We start from the raw sequence: 18,317 nt of genomic DNA on the forward strand, positions 1-18,317 counted from the left end.
TATTATACTGTATGAATCAGCCACAGTTTATGTATCTGTACTAGATAAACCTAAGGAAGTTAGGTTTTTGTTTTGTTTTGATTTTTGTGATTGTTGTTGTTGTTTTTGAGACGGAGTTTCGCTCTGTTGCCCAGGCTGGAGTACAGTGACGCGATCTCAGCTGCAATCTCTGTCTCCTGGGTTTAAGTGATTCTCCCGCCTCAGCCTCTTGAGTAGCTGGGATTAAAGGCATCTGCCACCACGCCAAGCTAATTTTTCTATTTTTAGTGGAGGTGGGGTTTCACCATGTTAGCCAGGCTGGTCTCGAACTCCTGACCTCAAGTGATCCGCCCACCTTGGCCTCCCAAAGTGCTAGGATTACAGGTGTGAGCCACCGCGCCCGGCCCTGCTTCTTTTTACAAATGGTGCTGCATTGAACCTGCTAGTGTGTATCTCCTTGGGTACCCATTTCAGAGCTTTCCAGGATACTCATTTAGGAGTGGAATTGCTATCTTTGTAGTAGATCACATTTTAAACTTTACAAGATTTAGCAAGATTACTCGCCAAAGAAGTATTATTTAAAGAAGTATATTCCTGCCAGCAGTGTATAAGTACCATTTGTAAATTTCCTTGCCAACTTTTGATATTTTCAGACTTTATTCATTTATTTATTTTTGACTACGATGATGGCTGTGAATGATGTATTTGTGGATTTCATTTTAATTTTCTTGAATTCAGCGATATTCAGCACCTTATCCTACAGCTCTCCAGGTTTCTTTCTTTGTGAATTGCCTGTTCACATTTCTGGCCCATTTTTCTATTAGGTTTACCTATGGTTTTAAAAAATTAGTTCATAGGAGTTCTTTACGTATTCTGGATACTGATCTTGTGTCCGGGTTGGGTCTTCTCTCTGTGGTTTGTCATTTTACTTTGTCAATGGTGTCTTGTCATTCAAAAGTTTTAAATTTTAATTGAAATGTTTCAACATTCCCCTTTATGGTTCGTATGTAGTGTCTTGTTGAAGAACGTCTTTCCCAGTGTCATATAGATAGTCTCCTTGGTAAATACTACCATGATGTCAGTTTGGTAGATGAGTCAACTGAGGCACTGAGAGCTTAAATGACATGCTCAGGGTCACAGACCACTGGAGATGAGAGACTTGAGCTCTTGGTCCCTGGGTTGCACTGCACTCCACGGTTCCAGAACTTTTTGCCATCCTATTCTGCTGCTTGTTTCATGAGAACTCTTGTCAGCCTTTTTCCGTAGGTAGAGAGGGTGTGCAGAGCTCAGAAAGGATGCAGGTTTGGTGCAGTTTTTATTTACTCCATAATGAAGCACCCATAATGAAGCACCTGGCTCTAGACTTTAGGATTTTTAAAAAGATTTAAATTATTTAAAACAACTTCAGATTTATAGAAAAGTTTCAAAAAATAGTATAAAGAATTATCGGCCCAGCATACTGGCTTACGCCTGTAATTTCAGCACTTTGGGAGGCGGAGGTGGGTGGATCACTTGAAACCAGGAGTTTGAGATCAGACTGGACAACAAAGTGAGACCCCATCTCTACAAAACAAACAAAAAAATTACCCAGGTGTTGCTTCCGCTTGGCTGTTTTCCTGCACAGGAGGGCCGTAGGCACCCATGGCGCCCAGCCGGAATGGCATGATCTTGAAGCCCCACTTTCACAAGGACTGGCAGCGGCGCGTGGCCACGTGGTTCAACCAGCCGACGCGGAAGATCCGCAGACTCAGGGCCTTGCAAGCCAAGGCGCACCGCATCGGCCCGCGTCACGCATCGGGGCCCATCCGGCCCATCGTGCGCTGCACACCACCCTCCCTCCCCGCCCCCGTGGTTCCGTACCACACGGAGGCGCCCGTCGGCCGCGGCTTCAGCCTGGAGGAGCTCAGGGTGGCCGGCATTCACAAGAAGGTGGCCCAGATCGTTGGCATTGCTGTGGATCCGAGGAGGCGGAACAAGTCCATTGCTGTCCCTGCAGGCCAACGTGCAGCGGCTGAAGGAGTACCTCTCCAAACTCATCTTCTTCCTCAGGAAGCCCTCGGACCCCCAAGAAGGGAGACAGTTCTGCTGAAGAACTGAAACTGGCCACTCAGCTGACAGGACCGGTCATGCCCACCCGGAATGTCTATAAGAAGGAGAAAGCTCGAATCGTCACTGAGGAGGAGAAGAATGTCAAAGCCTTTGCTAGTCTCTGCATGGCCCGTGCCAACGCCCGGCTTTTCGGCATACGGGCAAAAAGAGCCAAGGAAGCTGCAGAACAGAATGTTGAAAAGAAAAAATAAAGCCCTTTTGGGGACTTGAGACAAGAGAAAAAAAAAATTACCCAAGTTTAGTGGTGCGTAACTGTAGTCCCAGCTGCTCGGGGAGGCTGAAGCAGGAGAATTGCTTGAGCCCAGGAAATTGAGGCTGGACTGAGCCATGATTGCACCACTGTACTCCAGCCAGGGTGACAGAGTGAGACCCTGTCGAGAGAGAAAAAGAGAGGGAGAGGGAGAGGGGAAGAGAGAGAGAGAGAGAAAGTAAGAAAGAGAGAAAGAGAGAGAGAAAAAGAAAGACAGAATTTCTGGGCCGGGCGCAGTGGCTCACGCCTGTAATCTCAGCACTTTGGGAGACCGAGGTGGGCAGATTACAAGGTCAGGAGTCTGAGACCAGCCTGGCCAACATAGTGAAACCCCATCTCTACTCAAAAAAAAAAAATACAAAAACTAGCTGGGCGTGGTGCTGTGCGCATGTAATCCCAGCTACTTCTGAGGCTGAGGCAGGAGAATTGCTAGAAGCTGGGAGGTGGAGGTTGCACTGAGCTGAGATTTTGCCATTGCACTCCAGCCTGGGCAACAGAGTGAGACTCCGTCTAAAACTAAAGTAAAATAAATTTAAAAAAAAAGAATTTTTGAATGTCCTTCACACAGATTCCCCAAATGAACATTTCACTGTTTGCTCTATAACTCCTCCTCTACCCATCTCTTTCTGTTCCCCTCTCTCTGACTCTTGTCTAATCTACAGACTTCATATGCATTTCACAAATGGTCCCAGTAATGTTCTTCAGAGCAAAAGAAACACTGTTTTTTTTCCTAGTCCAGAATCCAATCTAGGATACATGTTGCCTTCAGTTTTCAAGTCTCTTGAGTCTCCTTTAATCTACAACAGTTCTTCAGTCTTTTTTGTCTTTCATGACCTTGACATTTTTGAAGAGTACAGGCCATTTATTTTATAGAATGTTCCTCTTTGGGGCTTGTGTGATGTTTATTCATTGTTAGATTCAGGTTATACATCTTTGGCAGGAATGTGCAGAAGTGACGTTGTGTCCTTCTCAGCCAGTGTTTGTTCTAAACCCTTTTGACTAGAACCCCCTGAAGCATTATGCGCATAGATGCATTTTTTTTTTTTCAGGCAAAGGGATTAAAATCTCTTATATACAATTCTCAGAGGGCTCACACGACCTAATAAGAGCCAACATATGGCCGGGTGCGGTGGCTCACACCTGTAATCCTAGCACTTTGGGAGGCCGAGGCGGGTGGATCATTTGAGGTCAGGAGTTCAAGGCCAGCCTGGCCAACGTGGTGAAACCCTGTCTCTATTAAAAATAGAAAAATTAGTCAGGCGTGTTGGCGTGTGCCTGTAATCCCAGCTACTTGGGAGGCTGAGGCAGGAGAATCGCTTGAACCCGGGAGGCAGAAGTTGCAGCGAGCTGAGATCGTGCCGTTGCACTCCGGCCTGGGTAACAAGAGTGAAACCCTGTCAAAAAGAAAAGAAAAAAGCCAAGACATTCCACATTTCTCCTTGCAGGTCTTGGTGGAAGTCCTTGGCTAACAGGGCTGTCTGAAAGAGGCTAGGAGACAGGCACCGAGAGTGGGTGAGAAGAGGTTTCTGCATCCTTTACAGACTCCACGGCCTTCTGGGACCTGCCTATGCTGCCCCAGGGAATATATCTAGTGTGCCATGCAAACAGATATCCCACTCTCCAGCTTCCTTGGCCCAAGTATATTGAGGGAATTTACCATTTATGAAGTCTTGGTGGGTCAGAACACAAGCTGTGGAATCTGCATCGTCCGTGTTCACTTCTTTCTCCACCACTTCCTAGCTGGGCAAACTTTGGCTTTAACCTCCCTGCACCTCACTTCCTTCATCTGTCAAAGCCGTGTAAGAATAGTCAGGAGGTCAGGATGAAGTAAGTTAAGTTAAATGAGGTAGCACGTATCACTCTTAGAATCATGCCTGGCTCATCGTGTGGGCTCATTAGCTCATAGATCTCACCTTCTCTAGGTTCACTTGATGACATCACACTTTGTGTCTTCTTATAGATTTGCTTGTTCTATTTGTTAGACTATTCCTAGAAAGCAGAGGCCCTTGGGTTTTCATGGGCTACTCTGTTGACAGAGGGAATAAACTTCACTGATCATTGAGTGATCATTGAATTCTGGTCCACTAGGACATTGGAGTGGGGGTAGAGGGGACTTTGTTGGGACCATATCAAGTTTCTGGTGAGCCCCAACAGAACTAATAGCTTCTCAAAGCGAGATTCTGTAAAACACAGTGAATCAGAATGGAACTGCACACACTTGACAAGCTCTGTTGTATGTTGATAGAGGTGGCTCAGAGAGTTGTTGAAAGACTACCCTAAAGTCTCTCCCGGCCAGTAGAGAGCTTCTTTGGCAGGGTTACCTGGCTTGAAGCCCAGCCTCAGTGACACCTACCATGTCAGCATAGCTCTGTACAACTGTGCTAGTCAGAATAATGACTCCCTGAAGAGGTCCACGCCCTGATCTCCGGAACCCGTGAATATGTCACCTTAAACGGCAACAAGAACTTTGCAGATGTCATTGATCTTGAGATGGGGAGACAGTCCTAGATTACTTAGGAACACTCAATGTAATCACGAGAGTTCTTATAAGAGGGAAATAGGAGGCTCAGAATCAGAGAAGATGTGATGATAGAAGCACAAGAGGGCGGGAAGGAAGGAGGCATGGGCCAGAGGAGAGAAAGATGCTACACTGCTGGCTTTGAAGACAGAAGATGGGGCCATAAGCCAAGGAAAGCAGGTGGCTTCTAGAAGCTGGAAAAGGCAAGAAAACAGATTCTCCCCCAGACCCCCCAGTCCTTCTGACCCATTTTTGACTTTGGACTGTCTTCTCTCCAGAAGACTAAATAAATGCATGTTTTCTTTTTCTAATTTTACCATGGCTTACTTTTTTCCCTTTTAATAATTAAACCTTTAATCCAATTAAAATCAGTTTTTGATGCATGACGTCATGAGTAGGTGTAATTAGATTCTTTCTCCCTTTTAATAATTAAATCTTTAATCCAAATAAAATCAGTTTTTTTTGGTGATTTTTTTGGTTTTGTTTTGTTTTTTCTTGAGACAGTCTCACTCTGTTGCCCAGGCTGGAGTGCAGTGGCAAGATATCGGCTCACTGCAACCTCTGCCTCCCGGGTTCAAGCAATTCTCCTGCCTCAGCCTCCCAAGTAGCTGGGACTACAGGCGCACACCACCACACCTGGCTAATTTTTTTTTCTCTTTTAGTAAAGATGGAGTTTCACCATGCCCAGGCTGGTCTTGAACTCCTGAGCTCAAGCAATCTGCCTGGCTTGGCCTCCCAAAGTGTTAGGATTACAGGTGTGAACCACTGAACCCAGAATCAGTTTTGATGCATGAAGCCATAGGTAAGTGTAATTAGATTCTCTCTCTCCTCAAATAATACTGCTTAACCATTTTTGTGTTTCTTATTTACCGCATACATTATTTTCTACAGGAGGATCAAGTTCAGGGATATCAATTGTTTCTATAGCTGTCTCTTTTTGAGGCATTCTGTACTGTTTCAATTATGTTACTCTAGATGGAAATATTTAGATATTCTGTTTCCAGAAGCCATGTGAAGTATGCTTGTGAAAATATTTAAAGAGAATTATCTTTGATGTAGGTAAGCGAATCTTGTTTGTGCTACTCAAATGACCAGATTAATCTGATTAATGCCCTCCTTCACTTGAAATTCAAAGGATCCATTTTCCAATTTGCCTACAAGTGTTGGGGTATATAAATAGAATGTAACTCTAATAATCATACAGAAAGGTAAAGTAAAATGTCAGAGTCAGGCAGCTCAGCTGAGTTGGTGGCTCACTGTTTCCTGAAGATTTTTATTCATTGAGTCCAGGGTAGAACTTGAGAATATTTATTTATTTTTTTTTAAAAAAAAGCTCTCTCAGGTTTGCAAACCACTGGGCTGGTTTACAAATTAAAACTGCAGAGATAAACTACCTAAAAGCCATTTTCCACATGTCACCAACTTTCAGGGTCCCTCACAAATAACCCAAACTGAGAATGTTAAATCTCCCTTATGAGGGTTAGAAGTAGATAACTGGCCAAGTCAGTAGAGACAGAATTTGAAGAATAAGTTTTCCAAATTCAAAACTTAGTGGTGTTAAGTAACTATTTTATCCTTATTCATAGTTTCTGGAAATCAGGGTTTCCAGAGGGGCTTGGTTAGGCAATTTTTCTTCACATAGTCTTAGGGCCTATCCACGTGGTCTCTGCACAGGCTGTGGAGAGAGGGCTTCCTCACTTCATGGCGACCTCAGAGCAGTTGTGCTGCTCACATGAAGCTCAGGGCTCTGAGGGAGTGGCTAAGAGAACCAGGCAGGAGCTGTATTGCCTTCTATGACAGTTTCAAGAGTCACATAAGCCTGGCCAGATTCAAGGGAAGGGAGCGTAGAACCCCATCTCTCAATGGGAAGAATATCAAAGTCCCACTCTGAGATATGGTTGTGGCCATCACTGGGAAATGCGGTCTGCCACAGTGGAGTCATCTGTTGCCCCCACATCCAGTGCACCAGAGCCTTTCTCTCAAATCTTTCTCGAATCTATCCACTTCTCTATGTACCCCTGCCCACCACTAGTCCAAGCCATCATCATCCCTAGCTCGGACCCCTTTGACTGCCTCCAAACCAGGGCCCCCAATTCCACTTTTCTTTCCCTTCAATTCTTTCTCTTCTGCAGCTAGAGTGATATTTTTATAAAACAAATTTAATTGCACTCCCCATTGTTCTCAGAATAATAATAAAGCTGCCTTCAAGGCCCTGCGAGATCTGTATACTTTCTGCCTTCCAGACTTATCTTATCCCACTGTGCCCCTTGCTTTCCAATCTGCAACCCCATTGGTATTCTTTCAGGTCCTACATCCACCATGTTCTTTCCACCTCAAGGCCTTTGTACCTCCCATTTCCTCTGCTTAAAATACTTCCCCAGCCCCTTTCCTACCTCTCCCCGCTCCCTCCTCCCTTTCACCTCTTTAACTCCTACTCCTCCTGAAGAATGAGTCTTTGCAGATATAGTTAATATGGGGTCATACTGCATGGGGGGGGGGCGCTAATTCAATGCTGGTGCCTTAATAAGAAGAGAGAAATGTAATTGAAATCTTACTCCCCTGCACTCAGAGTAGAGAGGGAGTATGGCATGGTAGCTAGGAGCACAGACTATGGATTCAGACTTCTTGGCTCTAAATCCTGGCTCTACCATTTACTGGCTGTGTGACCTTGGGGACGTACCTAACCTCTCCGTGCCTCAGTTTTTTCCTTTGTAGAACAAGGATGGTAACAGTACCTGTCTCAAAGGATTGCTGTGAATGTTGGTGAGTTAACATAGGTCAAACACTGAGAAAAACGCCTGCCACTTAATGCTAAATAAGCTTGGCTGGTAGTAGTTTGTCATCTTGTTGCATGCTCTTATAGGATGGTGCATTTCTCTTTTCTACCATTTGCTCAATCAGAGGCCAGATAATGGGACGTGAGGAGATGTTTCCTATTGTCTCCTAATCTATGACTTTAGACCCACAGCTGAGGATAAACGGGTGCTAAATATATTATGAACCTTAACCTGGGGTTCATGAACTTGGATGGAAAAAATTTACTCCTTTATTTTCATTGACCTCTAACTTAAATTAAGCATTTCTTTTGATCATGAATGTAGGCAATAAACTACAGTAGTGTTAGCAGGGCCTGCTACATTGTCACCAATAGAAGGCACAGATATTTCTATTTGATATCACACTAGAGTTGCTGCTGCAGATGTCTTGAATTATTGTTTGCACACATCATTACTCTGAAATTATGGAGGTTTTAGGCTTGCCACTAGAGCTTGTTATTTAATCCAGTATTAAAGAGGCATATATATACTATATCACATACTTGTCTTAATATTTTGATAACTATATTTCAATATAACTGGTCTTCTTTATAACTCTCTCATATTTTACATTTACAAAGATTTTTCTGAGAAGAGTCTGTAGGATTCTCCAGATGGCCAGAGAAATCTACAACACAAAGAAAACTTAAGAATCCTGTTTTAAAGAAAGTAGCCAACAACTTGGGTGAAAAGCTCTTTTAAGGGCATATTAAGAGGTGAGTGCTTTCTTTGAGTCAGCCATAGTGCTGAGGACTTTATATATATCTTCATTTAATCCTCCCAACACCCTTAGAAGTAGGTATTATTATTTATTCCCATTTTATAGACGAGAAAATTGAGGCTCAGAAGAGTAGGGATATTACCCAAGGTCACAGAGTAGTATGTTAATGGCAAAGTCGTATAAATCATTTGAGTTGGTTAGGCGCAGTGGCTCACGGCTGTAATCCCAACACTTTGGGAGTCTGGGTGGATCACGAGGTCAGAAGTTCGAGATCATCCTGACCAACATGGTGAAACCCCTTCTCTACTAAAAATACAAAAATTAGCCAGGCATTGTGGTGCGCGCCTGTAATTCCAGCTGCTCAGGAGGCTGAGGCGGGAGAATTGCTTGAACCCTGGAGGCGGAGGTTGCAGTCAGCTGAGATCATGCCACTACACTCCAGCCTGGGCAACAGAGCGAGATTCCATCTCAAAAAAAAAATCCTTTGAGTCTTTGCCACTACCTTGCAAAGTAAGTACCTCATACTTTCATTTTACAGATGAGGAAACTGAGACTCAAAAAGATAGAGTCATTTTATTTCTCACTGTTAAGTGATATAGTCAGGATTTAAACCCATTTCTGTGAGACTACTAAGCCCACATGTTCCACTGTACCTGGCAGGGTTAATTACAGGTACCATGGAAATATAGCCTGGGAGAGCTGGTGGTTTATCAGATACCTTTCTATGGCATCCATCAGGATCAAGTAGTTTGGAAAGAAATTATTACTTTTACTGTTTTTGCTGTGGGGTGACAGAACTGTGCGGGGAATGTCTTTATGGATGTGAAATTCACGTCAGCATTTGGAAAACTCCATTAGCCACTATTGTCTAGACTAGGGAGTTAAAAGTAGGAAGCAAGAGATAAAAGAATACATGGGTAGGAAATTCTGTGTTGGCTCATGCTGAAACGGAAAGAATCATTATTTTGAAACCATTAATGATGAACTTGGTAAGGATCAAAGTAGTCTCGTGATCTGTAAATCTAATGAAATGAAAATGAGGTAATGGTATGTTTTATAACTACGGAGGATCTGAGAAGCTGGAAATTATCTCAGCGTGAATACTGTAAGAGAAGAGGGAACAATGGAAGCCATCTAGAAAAGAATCTTTATTCAGCTTTATTTATAGCAGGTATTCGTCTTGTCTTTCAATACAGGGATCACAAAGGAGTTTGTTTCACCTTGCTGGGTGTATGAAAATACAACAGTTGTCACAGTCCCTGCTGCTTCCTTCCATGGAACTTAACACGTACAAAGGAGGGAAAGGTGGAGACCTATGATGAGGGGGATGAATAGCTCAGGCTGGGAGGGGAGACTGGAGGTAAGAGAGACTGGGGAGAAGAAAAGACCTAAGAGAGATTCTTTCCACCATTTCCCAACCCCCTTTCTCTAATTTTTTACTTAAAAAAAAAATTTTTTTTTTACAGAGATGGGATCTCACTATGCTGTCCTTACTGGTCTCAAACTCCTAGGCTCAAGTGATCCTTCCTCCTTGGCTTCCCAAAGTGCTGGGATTACAGGTGTGAGCCACTGCACCTGGCCCCAACCCCTTTTCTCTAGACCTGAGCTATCTAACATAGTAGCTACCAGCTATATGTGGCTTTTTACATTTGATAAAAGTCAATACAATAAAACCCCCACTTTCTTGGTGGTACTAGCCACATTCCAGATGTTCAACAAGCACATGTAGCTAGTGGTAGCTACCATATTGAATGGCATAAATATACAATGTTTACATCATCACAGAAAGTTCTATTGGACAGCACAAATCAACACTCCAATCCACCTAGATGTTTAGGAGTATTTAAAGCCTAGGACAAGGGAAATCCCATGACTGTAACATCCCTGGCCCAAAGGATGACAGAGAATAGAGTCTTTGAAATGGGGCATAAGGGTCCCAGTTTCCTGGGTGACCATAGGCTAGCTACTTCTGTTCTCTAGAACTCAGTTTTCTAATATTAAAGAGTAATACCATTTTTTATTAGACATTATGTGAGAAAATCACATAGTTAACTTAGTCCTTATAATAACCATGTGAGCTCTTAGGCTCATTTCACAGAGAAGAAACTAGAAGTTAAGAATATGCTCAAGGACACACAGTCAGTAACAGAATCAGATTTTGGGCCAGGCCTATGACTTCAGAAATTACACTTTTACTCATCGATCGATGCTGCCTCCTGCTGCTAGTTCCTCATTTGTAAATCAAAGTGCCTTTGCTGTATTCTCCCAGAAACAGAAACTGAGACAAAGATTTGAGTGCAAGTAGCAAGTAGTTTCTTTGAGAGGTGACTCCGGGGAGCACTGATGGGGTAATGGGGAACTGAGACAGAGAGGAGAAGGAAGCCATTACAGGGTGGGTGAATGAGCAGGTTACACAGTGGGCAACTGTGGCTTCACCTTGACTGGACAGACAGTGTAGAACACATACCTTTTAGTTATCCCAGCTGCGGGGAAAGGCAGCTGCGGCATTGATCCACCAACTCCTCATCTGTCATTGGTAGAAGGCTGCATTATCTCCAGCCCTTCTGGCCTGCCCTCTGAAGGGCTAAACATGCTCTTGTGGCCAAAAAAGGCTCTGGGGCAGAAGGTCACAGGTGCTTGAGATAGGGGACAGGAAGAGTGGGAACAGTGAATATGGAAGGCCTGAGGGTGGAGTACCAACAAGGTGCTACATGGGGATTGGATTAAGTCCTCTTTCTGCTCTAACCAATTAGTGGCTAGCGGTGCTAGTACTAGGTATTATTAGGTATTTTTACATCATAAAACCTGAAAGCATAATGACTACAATCTACCAGAGCAGGGATCCCCAACACCCCGGCTGTGGACCGGTACCAGTCCGTGGCCTGTTAGGAGCCGGGCGCCCAGCAGGAGGTGAGCGGCTGGCTAGCGAGCATTACAGGCTGAGCTCTGCCTCCTGTCAGATCAGCGATGGCATTAGATTTTCATGAGACTGCGAACTCTATAGTGAACCGCGCAGGTGAGGGATCTAGGTTGCGTGCTTTTTATGAGAATCTAATGTCTGATGATCTGAGGTGGAACCGTTTTATCCAAAACCAGGAACCATCCTTCCCAACCCCTCTATCCGTGGAAATATTGTCTTCCACAAAACTGGCCCCTGGTGCCAAAAAGGTTGGGGACTGCTGTACCAGAGCCTATCTGTAGAGGAGAGACTGGAGATACAATTAGACATCTGAGCTGATTTTCAACATGGATGACAGAGTAAAGGGTTAATATTCAGGGCTGGGATTTTGTCTAGTTCACGTGACCTAGTAAGTGCTCAATGCATATTAGTTGAGTGACTACATGATTGAATAAAGTTAATATGAAACAGACAATTTAATAGAAAATGGACAAAGGATATATACAGTTAGTTCACAGAGGAGGATATCCAAATGGTTGATAAACATTTGATAGGATCCTCAACTTCCCTAATAATTGAGGAAATGTAAATAAATGCAGCAAAGAGATCTCTCTCTTCACCATCAAATGGTCAAATATTAAAATGAATGATAACATTTAGTACTGGGGAGAAGGCAGAGTAAAGGTCCCTTCAAACATATGAATTTCCCAAGGTTTTTGGAAAGTATCTTTAAAATATCTGTTAGCATTTACAATATAAATACCCACAAATTCCTTCTAGAAATCTATTGTATAGAAATAAAAACACACGTGCCTAACCATACGTGTAAAAACATTGTTGCAGCCTGCTTTGCAGTAGAGAGAACCTGGATGCAACCTGAATGTACATCAACAGGAAAATGGTTAAATTGATTGTGACAAGTCCACACCATGGAATCTTACACAATTATTTTAAAGAAAGAATGTGTACGATCTGTATCTACTAACCTGGAATTATTTCCATGATATATTATTAAGTGACAAAAATGACTGCAAAAAAAGATAGAGATTCCTTTTCTTATTAAATGAACAAATATATTCTTAAATGTGTAGACAGATATTTATCAGGCTATTATGGGGAGAGAGGTGTAAAGATAGATAAAGAAAAAAAAAATACATGCCAAGGCGGGAGGATTACTTGAGTCCAGGGGTTTGAGGCTGCAGTGAGTTATGATAGTGCTACTGTACTGCAGCCTGGGTGACAGAGTGAGACCCTGTCTCCAATAAAAAAAATAGGAAAAGAAAAGAAAAAATAAAAATAGGAGTTTATAAAGGTGGAAATAATATACGTGGTCTAATATTATAGGAAAATGTAAAATAGATAATCTATTTATGATATCCCTTGGAAAGAAAAATCTGAAGGTCCCTATAGGCAAGGATTAAAAGGTGGCACACGCAAATGTACAAACCAAAATGCTGATTTCATTATGAGATGGGACCATGGATTTTTTTGGTCTGTAATAAAGCGCCTGTTTCATATTTATCTTGAGTGGGAAAGTCTCGATTACTCACTGGGCTATGGCTGCATGAAAATATACAGAATTGTATCTCTAGATCCTGATTCTCAAAGTGCTTTTTTCTTTTCCCCAGCTAATTCACTGGGCAGAAGTTGCCTTCTAATGGGTCTTTCTTCACGGTCTGGCATTTTTAAGGCAATCAGAACTTTGAGGATGTTTTCCCTGCATTATTGGGCCAAAAACTATCTGCCCTCTCTGGTTCTTACGTTTGGTGTGTGCCCAAAATTAGGAAGAGCAAGGGGAAAGGAGAAAAATGTCATCCTGCATAGAGAACAACAAGTTGTGCCGAGTGTTCTGAGGGAACATTGCAGGGCAGATGGATTGTTCTGGATGTTCAGGATGTGTACCCTTCTTACTTGAGGGGAAGGAGGGCAGGAGGCTTGACAAGGAAGCCAAGGAGGCATAGAATGTGCGTTGTAAGCCAAGTGTGGCCACTCTGATTCCTTTCCCAAGACTTTGAACCTCGAAGGAGTGATGCTCAAGTTCAGGGGTAGTTAGAGATTGTGTTCATTATCTATTGCTGGGTAAGAGGTTGACCTGAAACTTAGTGGCTTGAAACAAGAAAACATCTATTATCTCACAGTTTCTGTGGGTTAGGAATCCAGAAGCAACTTAGCTGGGTGGTTCTGATTAGATCACCACTGGGATCAATGTGTCAGCTGGGGCTGAAGTCATATGAGGCTTGACTGCTGCGGGAGGGTCCACTTCCACTTCCACTTCCACTTTCACTTCCTATGTGGCTGAGGGCTGGAAGCTTTGAATCCTTGCCATATGGACTTCTCCATAGGCTGCCTGAGTGCTGAGTGTCCTCACGACATGGCAGACAGCTGCTTCCCCAGAGGGCCTGGAGACAGTGCAGGGGGTGGGGGAGAGGGGAGAGAGAGAGAGAGAGAGGAGAGAAGAGAGAGAAAGGAGAGAGAGAAGAGAAGGAGAGAGAAAGAAGAGAGAGAAAGAGAAGAGAGAGAGAAAGGAGAGAGAAAGAAGAAGGAGAGAGAGAAGAGAGAAAGGAGAGAGAGAAAGAAGAGAGAAAGAAAAGAGAGAAGAGAAAGGAGAGAGAGAAAGGAGAGAGAAGAGAGAGAAAGAAGACAGAGAAAGGAGAGAGAGAAGAGAAAAGAGAAGAGAGAGAGAAGAGAGAGAGGAGACAGAGAAGGGAGAGAGAAAGAAGAGAGAGAAGAGAGAAAAAGAAGAGTGAGACAGTGCACACATAAGATGGAAGCCTCAGTCCTTTTATTTTTATTTAATTTTTTTGTAGAGATGAATTATTGCTGTGTTGCTCAGCTGGTCTAGAACTCCTTGCTTTAAGTGATCCTTCCTTTCTTGACCTCCCAAAGTGTTGGAATTACAGGCATGAGCCACTGCACCTGACCTCAGTGGGTTTGTAACCTAACCTTGATGTGACCTACACTCACTTCTGCTGGTTTCTGTTGGTCACACAGACCAACCCTGGTACAATAAGGAAGGGGACTACATAAGGGTGTGAAGACCAGGAGGTAGGGATTGTTGAGGGCTGTCTTGGAGGTAGGCTGGCACAGAGATGGTTTATAGAACTTTTCTGTGGCAGAGTCTCATCTATTCCCTGCCTCCTGTGGTTTTGCCTGGGTGCCTCCCTTGAGCCTTCCTGTCGGCTCTCTGGGCTGCCCAACACCCTTTCAATAGTGTCCTCTTTTATTTAAGTTCACTGCTACATCTTCTCTTGTTTGCAAGGACAACTCTGATTAGAACAGGTGCTACAAGAGAGGACAGTGGCGGGGGAGGTGGGTGGGTAGCAGAGGAAACTCATTTTAGATAAGATGGTCAGGGAAGGCCTCTCTGAGGAGGGGCCACTTACCCTGAGACATGAATGGTGAGGAAGAGTCAGCAGATGAAAGGTGGGAGGAGGGGCGTTTTAGACAGAGGGGGCAGCATAGCCAAAGCTCTGCGGTGGGAACCAAGGTTGCCAATGGCCAGGTCACGCAGCCTCTTGAGGTCACAGTAAAAACTTGGATCCTTTCCCCTGCAACCAAAGCATCTCTTCTTCCAAACATCAGAGTCTGGGAGGGCTGAGGACCAGGCTCCAGGCCTCATTGTGCGGGGATCAGATCAGCCGAGTAAGTGGCTTTAACCAGATAAGGATCAAGACATTCTCTGCTTTGTTCTCGCATCTGTTTTGCCGGCTCTTGGGTTTTCCAAATTTCTGCTTGGGTTCTTTTCTGAGTTTCTTAGTTCCCTTTGATAAATTCCCACGTGATACTGGTGAGCTAAAGGGAAAGCTTTTTGTCCATAGTTAGGCCTGGGAATCCCAGCTAGAGAGCCCTGTCATCTTATGGAGATGGGCTGCTACCCAGGACGGTGTGGGAATGGGCAGGTGGGTCTGAGGGATCCCTTCAGCCTCATTACTCTATAGTTCTGCGTTTATTCAACAAATACCTGTTCAGCATCTGGCAGGTGTTCAGACTCTGTGTGGGTGTTAGGTTAAGAAGATAAAGGAGGCACTGTTCCTCCTCTCCACAATTCAAGTTAGAAGTGAGGGATGGCCTGATCCAAAGGCGATTGAGTGCAAATTCCTTGTTCCTTAGGAATCAGCCACATGGCTGGCCCACAGCCAAAGCCAACAGGTCCTCTGTACCCTGTATTTTAGGGAGCCAGATAGTTTCCCTCCAGGTTTACTAAAGGAGGCAGAACTCGCTTTACACCCACAGCCCAAAATTCCAATTTCCTCTTCCTTGCCCATACAGCAATCTTGGGGAGGAAGGAGGTCCTTGGTTTTACTGAGTAGTCAGGTGTTCATAGGAGAAGGCCATTTCCTCCCTCCCCGTTAAGGGTGGGGTAGTGGAAATTCAAAGGAAGTCCCTCATGGAGACTGAGAGGTGACTGCAAGCATGGGGTGCTGGGATGCTGTTCCCTGATGGGTGGTGGACTGTGGGCAGTGGACTGTGCCTATCTGAGCAGGGTAGAGGAGAGGTGAGAAGAGGGGCATTGTGGTGTAGCTGACTGGATGCGTGAGCTTCTCTAGGTCAAGTGGACGTTGCAGTAATCAGCCTGGCTGGAGCACTTTTCTGGTGGCCTACTCAAGCAGGTTGACTGCTGGGCAAGAGGGTCAGGACACTGGTAGGCCCTAGGTGGTGGGGTGGGGTAGGCGAGGTCAAGCCTGGGCTGGATGACCCTGTGAGAGAATTGTGCAGTGGAGAAGCCGCTAAGGAACTTACTCATTTGCCCATGAGAAACCATATATGGACACGGGGTTGGGGTGGGGGTGGTAGGGTATGTCTCCCAATCAGACCATCCGCCCCACCTCCACCAAGTCCTTTTCCTCCTAGCAGGCAGGGTCCTGGCTCAAGTTAACTCTTGAATGAGTAAGAGAGAAGATAAAATGAGATTTAAATTGAGTTTGAGAATAAAGGTCTAAAGGATGGAGGTTTAACAACAGAAAGTGATCCAAAAGTAATGCAATCTGCCCAAAATGTCATTAAGGGATGGAAAAGGGAGATTCAACACAGCATGGCTGAAGGCAGAGATTAGGGGAGAAAATCTTCATCATTATACCCCACAGAGTTGAATCGCCTCAATACACTGGCTCCACAAGTAAACAGAAAAATTGAAATACAGTGTGGTCGGGCTAGAGTCTTGCTTGGGTAAAGCTGCCCCAGGTTCTGAGAGAGCACAGGGGGATAGGTTGGTTGTTAGAGAGAGATTTCCAGAGGAGGGTTGCCTGAGATGGACCTTGAAGGGTGAGAAAGAGTTGGCCAGGTGAAAGGAGAGTGGCAGTGGGAAGGGAGCTCTCCAGGCAGAGGTGACAGCACGGGACATCTGGGGAGTGGGGCTGGAGCATGAAGGGGAAGGCAGGAAGGATGCTTAGAGATGTACACCAGGAGGCCCATGGCCTTGCAGCTCTGCAAGCTTAAGGGGTGAGGGCCCTGGAGAGCCACTTTAAACCTTGGAGCAACACAATTGGATTTGCATATTAGACAGAACACTCTGGATGCCAGATTCTGGCAGCGCTGTGGACACTGGACCTCTAGGCATGCTCCTCACCCATTCACCTGGCACTGTGAACCCACCTCCCTACAAAGGCCATTTCATCTCTGAGTTTCCAAAATCCTGGCTCCCTACTCTTTTGAATGTCCTTTGCCCCATTCCTATTGCAGAACCCTTCATTGTTCCCTTTTTGATTGGCCTCCGAATATTGCCACTTTCCCTTAAATCATCTTCTCGCTTTCCTCCTCCAGCACACTCTTCTCAGCTCAACAAGATTCTAGGCCTTCTCTGGGCCTGTGCCCACCAGCACATGCCTCCTCAGGATATGTATATACTAAAATATCTTCCCTTTATCTTATCTGGTCTTCGCCCCATGGGGCAACCCGAAGGCTAACATTTATTCCTTCACACATTAATTTAAGCTGCTTTAATTGCTGCTATGATATGTTTTATATAATATAATTAATGTTTTAATTCTGTGTACTTGCTTCCCCAGGCAGTTTTGTGAAAGGCCCAATTTTGGAATCAAGCAAATAAAGAATAAGTAATGGCTGAAATCATTATAGTAACACCCCTCTCTCAAAGGATTTAAAACCGTGCTTGTTTTTTTCAAAGTATGTTAAAAAGGGAAAAGATATTTTAATCTTCTCTCCATCCTGGGCATGTTTGGGTGGCTTTAATGAAGTTCCCTGGACCCTGATTTCAAGAGTTTCTGGCCTTTTGGTATCTGACCACCATTCTCAAGAGGCCACTGCAGCTTGAGGTCTGTGTTGAGATTACCAGCTTCGCACCCCCTGCCACCAACTCTTTGTCATGATTGGAGGCTGTACTTAGGATGAGAAGTTGCTGAACCCACTCATTCATTTATTCATTCATTCAGCACCCATATATTGGTGTCCTATTATGTACCTAGGACTGGGATAGATCCAGTCCTGCCCTCAGGGAGCTCACAGTCAAATGGGACCAGGCAGAAGGAGTTATGAGCTGGCATGCTAAATGCTGTGGCAACACAGGGGAGGAGGCAGGGTGGGATAGAGTACCTACCTCTGCCTCAGGGAGTTGGGGAAGGTGTAAGAGGAGGCAACATTTAAACTGTTTAAGAAAGGAGAAGGAAAGGAAGGAAACATCAAGAGCAATGAGATAAACCGTAAGGAAAAAAGATTGTGTGCCTGGGAAGTGGGGAGAGGCTGAAGCCAGTGTGCATGGGAGGACGTGGCAGGAAGTAAGCATAGAAAGAGAGGTTGGGGCTGAGTGAGGAAGGGTGTGCTTTGCCAGGATAAGAAATTTGGATCATCCTGAGGGTGCAGGGAAACCCAAAGAGGCTTTTATGCAGGAAAGTGTCCCAGTCGATCAGATCTGGAGTTTATCAAGAGAATCGCAGCAGTGTAAAGAGTTGCCTGGCACATAGTAGGTGCTCAATAAATCCTGTGGAATGAGAGAGGCTGTTGGGACAGTCCAGATGAAAGATGGCACCCTCTGAATTAGGGCAGTGGCAGAGGTGACAGAAAATAAGGGA

At 44.6% G+C, this 18,317-nt stretch overlaps 1 pseudogene, besides 4 other annotated features; it reads left to right on the top strand.

The window, feature by feature from the left end:
* Nucleotides 1,546-1,635: an enhancer, noted in NCBI's record as "active region_17960". NCBI's record gives its function as "activates an Ori minimal core promoter by ATAC-STARR-seq in GM12878 lymphoblastoid cells {active_cell/tissue: GM12878}" and the evidence as "EXISTENCE:reporter gene assay evidence [ECO:0000049][PMID:35858748]".
* Nucleotides 1,578-2,297, top strand: RPL13P2 (ribosomal protein L13 pseudogene 2; annotated as a pseudogene).
* Nucleotides 4,644-4,879: a silencer, noted in NCBI's record as "fragment chr20:44731180-44731415 (GRCh37/hg19 assembly coordinates)". NCBI's record gives its function as "represses an EF-1alpha promoter that drives an FKBP-Casp9 reporter gene in an ReSE screen in HepG2 liver carcinoma cells {active_cell/tissue: HepG2}" and the evidence as "EXISTENCE:reporter gene assay evidence [ECO:0000049][PMID:32094911]".
* Nucleotides 10,499-10,818: an enhancer, noted in NCBI's record as "active region_17961". NCBI's record gives its function as "activates an Ori minimal core promoter by ATAC-STARR-seq in GM12878 lymphoblastoid cells {active_cell/tissue: GM12878}" and the evidence as "EXISTENCE:reporter gene assay evidence [ECO:0000049][PMID:35858748]".
* Nucleotides 10,899-10,948: an enhancer, noted in NCBI's record as "active region_17962". NCBI's record gives its function as "activates an Ori minimal core promoter by ATAC-STARR-seq in GM12878 lymphoblastoid cells {active_cell/tissue: GM12878}" and the evidence as "EXISTENCE:reporter gene assay evidence [ECO:0000049][PMID:35858748]".

This window comes from Homo sapiens, chromosome 20 (assembly GCF_000001405.40).
Source record: "Homo sapiens chromosome 20, GRCh38.p14 Primary Assembly".
NCBI classification, from domain to species: Eukaryota; Metazoa; Chordata; class Mammalia; order Primates; family Hominidae; genus Homo; species Homo sapiens.